Source organism: Homo sapiens, chromosome 14, assembly GCF_000001405.40.
Source record: "Homo sapiens chromosome 14, GRCh38.p14 Primary Assembly".
Taxonomy (NCBI): domain Eukaryota; kingdom Metazoa; phylum Chordata; class Mammalia; order Primates; family Hominidae; genus Homo; species Homo sapiens.
The window spans coordinates 51,958,542-51,970,788 of NC_000014.9; the positions used below are offsets into that span (position 1 = coordinate 51,958,542).

At 39.2% G+C, this 12,247-nt stretch overlaps 1 protein-coding gene across 15 annotated transcripts in view; it reads left to right on the plus strand.

The window, feature by feature from the left end:
- GNG2 (G protein subunit gamma 2) overlaps positions 1-11,254 on the plus strand; it is a 143,622-nt gene extending 132,368 nt beyond the window's left edge. For all 15 annotated transcript variants that reach the window (NM_001389707.1, XM_047431486.1, XM_017021377.2 and 12 more), the window contains one exon: positions 8,018-11,254. In NM_001389707.1, the coding sequence (NP_001376636.1) occupies positions 8,018-8,146 (129 nt within the window). In that variant the 3' untranslated portion in view covers positions 8,147-11,254. The remainder of the gene's footprint in view (positions 1-8,017) is intronic.
- Positions 11,255-12,247: the final 993 nt, after the last annotated feature.

Here is a 12,247-nt window from a genome sequence, read left to right on the forward strand (position 1 = left end):
ATTCCAGTTTTCTACTTTCCGTATTTGTAACTCCCTTCACCTGCAGTGAGACACCTGGCTCCCCTTATCCTTGTTTGGTCACTGTCTTGTAGGGAACCAAGCTTCCACTCCATGGCCTCCTCTCCCCACATGGATGCCTTGCACATTCATTCAGGTTCCTATACTCCTTACCAGGTTGGACCCTGCGTAGATGTTCTCCTTATCCTACTTCAGCTCTGATATCCCATCATGAGTCCCTGAGCTAATATAAAATCCTAACTTGCTTGGTCCTACCTAATCATTTTAAGATTGAATTGTCCAGGAAGAAGAAGGAGCAGAAGGCCCATTTACTCTTACACCCATTCCAATGAGGCTTTCACACCCACCATTCCACTGAAGCTTCTCTCATCAAGATCACCAATGACTCCAGACGGCTAAATTTAATAGTTACTAGTTTTCATCTTATTTGATGTCTTGGCAGCATTTGACATGATTGATGACTCATTGTGCCTTGAAACACTTTCTTTATTTGCCTCTTAGTAATGCCTACTTTCACAGGCTACTCCTTTTAATTCTCCTCTAGTTTGTCTTAGGCTCTCCAACTTATTACATTCAAGGGTCCTAGGGTTCATTCATTACTCAGCTCTACTTTCTTGGTGATCTTGTTAGTTCCCAAGGCTTAGTGTACCATCTCTAGGACCTTGATTACCAAATTTATAGCTCTAGCCCGATTATTTATCTCAAACTCCAGCATCATACATCTCACTAATAGACATTTCAATTTCAATCTGTCTAAAACTGCATTCTTGATCTTCACCCCCAAAAGTCTGTTGCCATAGCCCTACCCAGCTCAACTGACAGCAAGTTCGTTTTTCATTTGCTTGGTCCAAAAACTTAGAGTTATCCTTAATTTTCCTTTTTTATTCATACTGTGCATCTAATCCATTAGAAAATCCTGGTGATTCTACATTCAAATGCTATTTATCCAGAATTAGACTACTTTGTCCCACCTCCACTGCTATTACTCTATTCTGAATCCCTGTTGCCCTTCACTTTGATAAAGCAGTAGCCTCCAGGGTAGTCTCTGCTTCTACCCTTGACTCCCATAGAGTACTGTTCACAACACAGCATTCTGAGTGCTTCGTTAGAATGTAAGTCAATGGGTCACCATTTATTTTATTGTAACTTTCATTTTGTAAGTTTCTACCAAAAGATTATTTTCTTAATTAAGCTGAACTATTGCAACCTGTTCCCCAGACCCCTCCCTACCATCACCAACACACTCTCTCAATCCCCTTTACCCTGATCTACTTTTTTATTTTCTTATGAACTTACTACCTTCCAACATTCTCTATATAACCACTATGTTTCATTGCCTATTCTCACCATTCTCCCACTCAAATACCATATAAGCAATTTGATTATGCTGTGCCTTGGTGTCGTTTGATTTATGTTTCTTCATTTGGGGTTTCTTGAGTTACTTGAACCTGTGGATTTGCAGTTTTCATTAAATTTGGAAATTTTTCAGCCATTATATCTTCAAATATTTTTTCTTTATCTTTCACTCCCCATATCTCTCTGCTTCTTTAGGGACTCCAATTATATGTGTATTAAGTCATTTGAAGTTGTCTCCTATCTCAGTGTGTTTTGTTCATTTTTTTTTTCAGTCTATTTTCTCTCTGCACTTCATTTTGGATAGTTTCTATTGCTATCTTCAAGTTCACTAATCTTTCTTCTACAGTGGCTAATCTGCTAATTTTATTCATTGTATTTTTCACCTCATTGTATTTTTTCATCTCTACATATTTGATTTGTGCCTTTTTATATCTTCCATATGTCTTTTTATCATGTGTTGATTTATTCTACCTTCTTGATCATGTGGACAATATTAACAATTGTTATTTTAACAATATTCGTGTCTATAAATCTGCTAATTCTATTCATTGTATTTTTCATCTCATTGTATTTTTTCATGTCTACATATTTGATTTGTGCCTTTTTATATCTTCTGTATGTCTTTTTATCTTGTGTTGATTTATTCTACCTTCTTGATCATGTGGACGATATTAACAATTGTTAAAATAACAATTGTTTAAAAATAACAATTGTTACTTTTGTTAAAGTATTTAACAATAGTTAACAGTTAAGTTACTTGGAAACATTTTGATCTATTCAAGACTTACTTTTCAACTTTTCAACTTTGATAGGTGGGTCCACAACATTTAACCTGGGGCTATGTGGCATCACTAATGAAGTAATAACCTTGTTAGGACTCTACTCAATGTCTTGTGTGCTGGGAAGCCTTTCTACTCTGGCCCTATGTGATCTCCAGGATTGTTTTACTTGCTCCTTCCTGATATTCTTTGCATAGCCTCAAGTGGTTTTCTCCTATGCATGTGCCAATCAGTATTCAGCCAAAGGCTCAAGATGAATCCTCCAGAGGCCTTAAGAGCTTTCTCTCCCCTAGTGTAATTCTTTCTTCTCTGCTATTCTCTCCTCAACTCAGGGAGATTGCTGAACTCTGTCTGGGTACTCCCTCCCTGTGCAGTGGCAGGCAGTAAGCTGGGGCAACTGTAGAATTTATCTTATCTCCCTTCTCTCAGGGATCACTCCTCTGTGCTGCCTATTGTCTAAAAGTTAAAAATTATTTCTTCATATATTCTGCCCAGTTTTTAATTTAAGGCAGGAGAGTTTAGTTGGCCCTTATTACTCCATCATAGCCAAAATTGGAAGTATAGAATGCTGTATAAACTCTACAGGGACAAGCATCTTTGTATATTTTGTTCCCTGATTATTGCAAGTATCCAGACTACACCTGGCATATTTGATGCTCAGTAAATATTCGTTGCATGAAATATCTGTCGAAGAAGATTATGTTTGAGAACTCCTTCAGCAATTACTATGAGTGTTGAATATGTGTCAGGCACTGATTATACGGTAGTAAATAACACAGGTGTGGTTCCTGCCTTCGTGGAGCCCAGAGCCTAAAGGGAAAGGCAAATATTAAATGGCAAATAAACAAACGATGTCCGTAATTATAAACTGTGAAAGCAATTTATAATTTCTGTGAAAGAGAAGAATGTGAGAAAGTACTCTGAGAGAAAATAATCAGGAAAGTCACTGTGGATGAGGCGATCAGTGAAGGTTCTGCAAGGAGGTGGTATTTCTGCTGACTTCTGAAGGAAGATGATAAGCCAACCCATTGAGGAGATGAAGAGAACAATATTCTAGGATACTGAATATGTGACACTCTGAGGCAAAAAAGAACTTGGAGCTTTCAAAAAGTAAAGGAGATATTTGAGAGGGAAGAATGCTACAACATGAAATTGGAGAGAGGGGGAGGCCCAAAACATGCAATACCCACAGGCTGTTTTACAAAGTTTTGGTTTTCTACAAATTACAATGAGAAGTTATTGAAGGTTTTAAATAGGAGAATGATAGGAATCCACTTGTATTTTAAAAATATCTTTCTAGCTACAGTATGGAGAATACTACTCCTGCATAGTTATGAACACAGGAAATCATTTAAAACTGAGATAATTAAACATTTTTGTGCTCTTGACTCATTTGTCTGTCTGCTCAAGCCTATGGTCTCCTTCTTAGAATCATGTTTTTAAATTACAAAAGAAACTAATTATATTGACATGAGGGTCATTAGAATATTTTTGTAAAACATTTTAAATAATATTATTTAAAATATCAATTTTTAAAAATATATGTGATGTAGTTATACATAGGTACTCCTTTGTTAACTGATTATGTAAGATCTAATAGGTCTACAATCATAAGGTGGATGAACAGAAATGCAGTGTTGAGGTGTCTGCAATGAATATAATGTGATTGAAAGTATCTGGTATCTATCAGTGGCCAAGTCACATGTACTGCTAGGGCTACTGCAGTGTGTTGTCTATATTTATAATGAGAGGAAATGTTAAATTTCCATTTGAGGTTAGTGAAAAATAAAGATGTAAATTTTTTGTATTATTTGAAGTTCACATACCACCCCCCGAATTCGATCTGTGGAACCCTGGGGTAATCCAAATTAATTGCCTTTATTTACAAAGTTATTTTAGTAATCACAAAGAGAGAAGACTGCAGTATGAACTGGGGTAGCTGCAATAGATATAACAGGAAGGGAGCCAAATTTGAGATATCTTTGGAGGAAGAATCAACAGGACAGAAAAGGGAGAGATTTTCTGGAGTTATTGGGGAAATCTTCATGGAAGAAGTAGGCATACGAATGTAGAAGAAGCTGTGTGCAAAATGTTAGCAGGGATTGTCAGAAAGCAGAAAGATCTGCTAGGCACACGATTGCTGTGACTCATTATAAGGCACAGGACAAGGAAGACAGCCACAGGTTAGAAAGGAGGAATGTTCATGAAGATTAAGTCAGGGACATTGAGACTCACAACTCAGTAGCTCAGGAGCTGTGGGACCTGGGGCAAACACTTAATGAAGCCTCCACTTCACATATTTAAGATGAGAATGATAATAGCTTGTGACCCATAATGTTGTTGTAAGGATTAAATAAGATACCGTATGTAAAGTGGTTAGCACAGTTCTGACACATAGCAAGGGCTGATAAATATTAGCAATTATTCTAATTACTGCTGGGATTCTGACACTGTTGGAGCATTGCCCACAGGAGATTGCAGTCTTGTTGAGGAAACAAGATAAAACACATAATATATTTTAAGAAGGAAACCATTCAGAATCAAATGTTCAAATATAAAGATATGAGCAGCTCTAAGTTATTAAATTTTCCTAGTATAGTACTTCCTGTATCATAAAAAGATTTTGAATATTCATGCTACATAGTTGTATGTGAGTGTTGCAAACGGGTAGGGATGAACGGTGCTGCTTCTCCTCGTAACAAATGAGTTTTAGATATCACTGATTTACTGTCTCCACTGCCTAACAGCTAAGCTCCTGTTTGGTGTAACAATGACTATCGCTCAAACAAGAAGAAAGAATGAAGAAAAAAAGTGATCTCAATTCAGTCTGAAAGTCTGTCCTTTGTTTTCATGTGGGAGAGCTAAGACATAAACAGGCTGTTTCCTTTCATTTTGTCATAGAAGCATTTCATAAAGAATTTCAATTTCAACCTTTGGAACAAAGCCCACATTTGAGTAGTTTATATGCAGATGGCTGTGGCTTAATGGCAACACATTCGAGTTCAAGTTCTTTTTCTGCTGTGTGCTTTGCTCTATGATATTGAACAACTTATATAATCTGCTGAGCCTCAATTTTTCATCTATAAAAAGAGGATAATAATTCTTACCTCAGGATTACTGTGAAGATCAAAAGAGGAAATTTAACTCAATGTCTGGAACAAAATAAGGATAAAATAAAAATATTTTTGTAAGTACTGTAATGTCTATTAAAAAGTGAGACTGATTTTTACATACATATCATGTATTGGGTTGACTAGTGTCCCCTAAAATTTATGCCCACCTGGAATCTTAGAATGTGGCCTTACTTGGAAATAGGGTATTTGTAGATGTAATCAAATTAAGAGGAATCATACTGGATTAGGGTAACTCTAACTGGTGAGATGGGAAATTTGGTCACACAGAGAGGAGAATGCCACATAAAGACACAGACACTCAGGAGAGAATTCCATGTGAAAATAGAGACAGAGATTGGAGTGATATGTCTATAAGCCAAGGGATACCAAAGATTGCCAGCAACCACCAGGCACTAGGAGAGAAGCATGGAACAGATTCTCGCTCAGACCCTCCAGAAGGGACCAACCAAGCTGATGCCTTGATTTCAAACTGCTAGTCTCTAACAGAATAAATTTCTGTTGTTTTAAGTTACCCAGTTTGTGAGGACTTGTTCAAGACAGCCAGAGGAAACAAATACACAAACCAATACCTGTACCTCTTTGTGTCAATTAGGGTTGGCTAGATGTTGTGGTAGTAACAGAAGGTGCCCTACCCTTCATTCTTAGGGGTTTGCAATAGCACAGTCACACTTCTCACTCCTACCATATGTCAATCATAAATCAGCTGCCACTCCACACCATGTCACCTTCATCAGGGATGCTGGCAGATGGAGCAGCCTCTGTCCAGAATGTTGCTTCTATCTGTTCTGTGGCAAAGGGAACAGAGACCCCAAAAATTCAACGGTTTATGGGATGAGAAGAGGAAACTGATTTCTCTACCCAACCAGTAAATCATAAAGTTGAAGTAGCCTTAAGTAAAAAAGGCCAGGCACAGTGACTTACACCTGTAATCCCAGGACTCCGGAAGGTGAGGCGGGAGGATGGCTTGAGGTCAGGCGTTCAAGACCAGCATGGGCAAAATAGCAAGAACATTTTTGAAAAACCAGCTAGGCATGGTGGCATGCACCTGTAGTCCCAGCTACTCAGGAGGCTGAGGCAGGAGTGACAAAGCTTTAATCAACTCAGCCCTGGGACAAGAAACAAATCAAGGATATTGCCACTATGCCATTTGTTAAAACCTCTGCATCAATTAAGAGGGTTCCTCATAAATTATTTCAGTCGGACGAAGTGGTATAGAGGAAGGGACATGGCAAACTGTGCATTGGCTCCTAAAGTTTCTGCCCATAATTGATCCACATAAATTCTGCTCACATCTCTCTGGCCAGAGCAAGCTTATGTCACTGGGCAAGTCTGATGTCATCATGTGGGCATGTATGTCCCACTTGTAGGAAGGGGCAGTGACTATCTTTAGTAATAATATAATTCACCCAAATCTTAAATTAGATTATCCTTTCAGTAGTTGCTTTGATATCCTTTCAGTAGTTACTTGACAGGCGTTCGTAGTAGTACAGTGGTGTTGCTTTCATGTGGAAATGTGTTATTTTATGTAAAAATTTGACCCCAAATGGCATTCCCCAGGTTGATCATTTACCTAGTCCCCAGATGTAGCTATAGATGACTTTTAGTTTATTTCCTGAAACTAAATCCACGCTCTAATGTAGTAAAAATTTCCTCTGGTGAAGATGGTTGAAGGAAGGTACTACAGGGAACTCATAACAAGCAGCTACAAATATGTTGTAAGAAATGACAGCATCGCCAGAATCAGTGACGACCTCCCAGTGAAATATCACTAAAGGGCACAATGCTTGGTTAAAGTCACAGGTATAAATTTTAATATATATGAAGTATAAAAATATGTTCTATATAGTGTGTGTATACATAGATATATCTCCTGCTGCATCTGCTTAAAAAGGGAAATTGACATGGTTTTAGGCATCCCTAGCACAATTCCTGAAGCAGAGAGTCACGACTACAAAATGATAATAATGGCTAGCCTGTGTGGAAAGCTTGCTATGTGCCAGACACTAAATGATTTACAGGGATTTTTTCATTTAACCCTTGTTACCAGGGCTGGGACCAGGGTGGGGCAATGAGATATCGGAGCACAAAAGTGAAGGAGGGCCGGGCACAGTGGCTCACGTCTGTAATCCCAGCACTTTCGGAAGCCGAGACAGGTGGATCACTTGAGTCCAGGAGTTCAAGACCAGCCTGGCCAACGTGGTGAAACCCTGTCTCTACCAAAAGTACAAAAAATTAGCCAGGCACCATGGCACACACCTGTAGTCCCAGCTACTAGGGTGGCTGAGGCAAGATAATTGCTTGAACCCAGGAGGCAGAGGTTGCAGTGAGCCAAGATCAAGCCACTGCACTCCAGCCTGGGCAACAGAGCGAGACTGCATCTCAAAAAAAAAAAAAAAAAAAAAAAAAAAACAAATGAAGGAGACAGCCACCTGCGGGGCTATGGAAGTGCAGGGTTGACACCTGCATGCCCCTGCCAGCGAGTGCCTCCTTCGGTTCTGCACCCTAAGTGCCTCACTCACCTTAACCTAGTCCCAGACTTGCTGGCAACAATCCTGTAAGGTCAGTGTCGTCAACTTTCTTCTTTGCAGATGAGGAAGCAGAAGCTTTTAGAGGCTGAGTATCTTGCTTCATGGAGCAAGGATTTGATGCCAGGACATTGGGCTCTAAAGCCTTGGGCCTTGACTGACTGTACCAGACTCCAGTGTTGGTTGTTTTTGTCTCCCTTTCCAGGTGTCCAAGGCAGCTGCAGATTTGATGGCCTACTGTGAAGCACATGCCAAGGAAGACCCCCTCCTGACCCCTGTTCCGGCTTCAGAAAACCCGTTTAGGGAGAAGAAGTTTTTCTGTGCCATCCTTTAAGTCTTTGAGAGGGGCCTGAAGAGCCTCCGGGCTCCTGGGACATTGATGTAGAGTTTTTAGTGAAGTGGGCACCTTTCTAGTCCACGGCATTTGAAGAGAGCGAGGAGAACCATTCTGGAAACTCTAGGCTATGCATGTTTAAAGATCTGGTCCCCTTTATGAGAATGCAAGCCGATCCACATCCTGACTTAAGAGATCTGATTCTGACGAACTGCCTGGAGGAGGGGAATATATAAAAATAAAATTGGTGTCACTTCTTTTCTGCTATCCCCCAGCCCCCCCCCCAAAATCCTCATGTTTCTGCTTCATATTTTGAAAAATAACAATTAAAACAGACAGCTGTACTGAGGTAAGATATGTGTGACCTTCTTGGAATGAATATTGTCTTTAGAATACCCTTTGATAAGCTGAGCTGTCCCGTGTAGATGCAATTCGGTTTAATGGCATTGATGTATAGTCACTGTGCCTTTCTTTTTCTTTCTTCCTTCTCCTCTACCCCTCCTTCCACCCCTCCCCATTAGAGTAGTGTGGAGATAAGGCTGGACTGGTCTATCAGATTGAACTCCAAGAATGATCACACAAAATGTTTAGGGAGATGTTCCCCGTGGTGTATCCTCATGGTAACAACGACAAAAAATGCCGGTTGTCTGTGTTCTCTTTTCACTATTCCTAACATGTGTACATGATAGCTTTGATTCTGCAAGTAAAAGTAAATCCTGTGTTGTGACTGGTGCTTTCATATATTTGTGACAATTTTTGAGTAATATTGCATGAAAATGTCCCTATGTTACATCCATTCAGAAGTTTTGTTGTTTTACTCTAAAGCTGGGAAAGGAAATGAGAGGGAAAAGACCCCGGAGAGGGAAGAAAATCTCAGTATTTTGAAAATTGAGATTACTTCAGAGCCTTAGCCACACCTAAAATACCTCCTAGTTAATAGTGGTATAAATGCCTCTTCAATACGTTTTCCAGAATCCAAAGCATTTTGGTTTATCCAGGACCCAGGGCAGCACAGCTGTCACCAAGCAGGAGAGTTAAGGATTCACCATGAGCTGGGAAATGCTTTTGCCATGAGTATGAGCAAATTCCCTCTTTCCCTGAATCATGGACATTCTAGATTAAAAGAACATTTTTTTGTGCTCTTAACAAGAAAACCATGGCCCTCCTTTGTTCAAGTATCAGAAGAAATAAACCCACAGCTCCAGAGAAGGTGACCATTCTCAGAACTCCAGCTATTCACTCTCCAGGGAGAAGGACCTCAAATCGCCACTCTTTGGGCGGCAGGTGCGGTCCCCACGGCCGGCTCTACGAGGAAGAGTTCTGGCTCTTTTGTCCACTGAGATGGTCTTGGTTTTTCACTTAACAAATTTTTTAATGGAATCTTTGTTTTTGTTCTCCATCTTGTTTGTTAGAGTCTCTCGGCCTTTATTTACAAATTCCTTGCAACTAGAGCGCTCCTTCCCCAAGATATGGTAGTGAGAGTAATTTTTCATTGTAGCTGTAGTCTCCATCAGTAACAGCAGGCCCTGGAAGACTTGATCACCTTTTTCTGTGTCATTTTCAGTCAAAGAGGGCCTCTCTTACATCTTGTTTGCTTTCAAATCCCCAAATATCATCTCCATCTCCCAATTAATTTTATTGTCTCTTTCCTCTCTATTCGCTTTCTCCTGTTTTTTTTTTAAAAAAAAAGCATGAAAAAGGAAGAGAAAAAGTTTGATATGCCAAGGACAGATTTTGAAACAGACTTGGTAAATGTTTTCCTTAGCTCCTTCATGGGCATGCTGGTGAAAGAATAAATACATCCAATTAAAGCTCATGCTGGGGTCGGGGAGAAGAGGATACTGAAACATTTGTGAAATGTATGAATGCACTTCTGTAACCAGATACTTCTGTTCTTCTGTTCAAATTGTGGGGTTTTTGTTACAGTTAGGACGCCCATGAAGATTTAGGGGTGAAAAAAACAGCAGAGTATTTATTAAACTACAGCATTGTACAATTAGCTTAGTAACACTATGGAATAAGCTAAAACATATCACAGTTTTTACATGGGCCAAAACATGAATTGAGTATGTGGTCACATGAAAACACGGATGAATGAATAAAACACTCTTTGGTGGTGACTGAGGCATCATTAGAAGGCCCAGACGATTTCCACTATTCACAGCATTTCCTTTTCTCAGAAGGACTCTTTATATTTCCATGTAAATCTAGATCTTTGGAGCAATTAAGATGGAATTACAATTTCTAGGGAGCATTTTAAGGAAAATGTTTTGGCTTTTTCATAATTTTATGTCTTACAGTATGGAATTATAATACGAAAATCTTTATATGAGTTTTGGCTTCTTGGTATTTGTACTTATTCAGGGGAAAAAGTCTTTCGATTACTTATGCCTCTATAGAGCTTAATTTCTTGAGAAATTCAACAGTCATTTTCACCAGCATAATTTTATCTTAAGGAATAACTAATAGGAAAAGTCAGCTTAATTATTTAAGGCCCTAGTTTCTACATATAATATATTCGATAGAAATGAAAATCTGCCGTGGAATTAACTAATAAGTAGTAACAATAAACTTCATATTTAGAATGCAAAGTCTATAAAGAATAATTTTACATGATCCTCAATATCAACTCCAGTTTAAAAAGTGTTATTTTTAAAACATTTGAAACCAAGTACTGTTTAATTTCAATCAGAAGATGCAAATACATACTTTGATCTATGTTTGATTTTGCTAATAATATTTGAAGGAGATTGCCTACCAAGGACAAAACAATAAATTTAAAAATCAAACGATTTCTCCATACGCTCATAGTCACATATGGAATTTTGAGAAAATAAAGCATGCTGTCTTTAGGAATTTTTATACTTCTTTGTCTTTCTTCCTTAATATTTGCTTCTAGCTGCTCTTGGCAATGATGAATTGTTATGTATGCATTAATGTTTTGCAGCCCAAAAGTTGTTCACATTTTTCCTATATAAGATCTGTGGAGTGTGTGTTTCAAAGAGAGAACTACAGAAATGTTAAAGCAGGAAAACCTGAATGTGATGTGCACATTTTCATCCCACATGGACAATGTATGTGTTTTAATAAATGGAATTTTCAGATTCATTTCATATGCAGTCAATTTCATTGTGACGGCCACTGATTCTGTGGTCAATTTGAGAAGGATCTGATGGTATGAATGGATGAGGAAATAGGAATCCATTGATTTTCTTTAGGATTTTGTTAATAGAGATGTCCGAAAGAAGAAAAAACTCACTTGACACTCTAAAAGCATTTCTTACTAGGTCTGTACATCTTGGGTACAGCCTTTGGGGACAGAGAAAGGTGGGGGCTGTGAGGAGAGCCCAGGGCTCTGATAGGGTGGAGTATGCAGACAGAGGAGCTGTATTTACACTTTCACTTGCTGCAGGTATGCCACAGTGGGCTTTTTCCCTTATGAAAAATAAAGACTGAACAACAGAAGTGCTGTTCTCTGTAGCTATCTGTGATTTAAAAGGAGTACAGGAGAAGCTAAGTCCTTAGAACTCTAGATGCAGCTGCTCCTTGGAGATCTTCTTAGTCGAGAAAGACTTCTGAATGTTCCTCAGATTATGCCAGTAACAGACCCTGTTAGTAAAGAAGGAAACACTGGATCTCCTGGGACTTGTGCCAGCAACAGCAGCATCTTTAAACCACGGATGAAGGGGGCCACTTGGAGTTTGCACACTAGTGCTCCACTGACATCAGTGTTTCTCAGACTGTGGTCCATGGACCACTTGCTCCAGGAGTATTAATACCTGGAATGCCTCTTTACAAAGCGGATCCTGAGCTACCCACGAACTCAGAATCCCTGGCAGTGACTCAAGAACGTGCATTCTGTTACATGCTATAGTCTGAGGACCACTACAGTATTTATGACAGCTAGCTTTTCATACTGCCAAAGGAAAGGCACAAACAACTCATAAATATTCTCGCTCTTCTTCCCACAGCCCCCAGAAGTGGCTGCCTAGGCATGAACATGTAACTGAAGGGTGAGAATCTAGCCAGCAACTAGACATGCTACACTGAGGAAGACGCAGCTGGGCTGTGACTCTGCTCCTGTTTTGTTGAGCCCCTGTG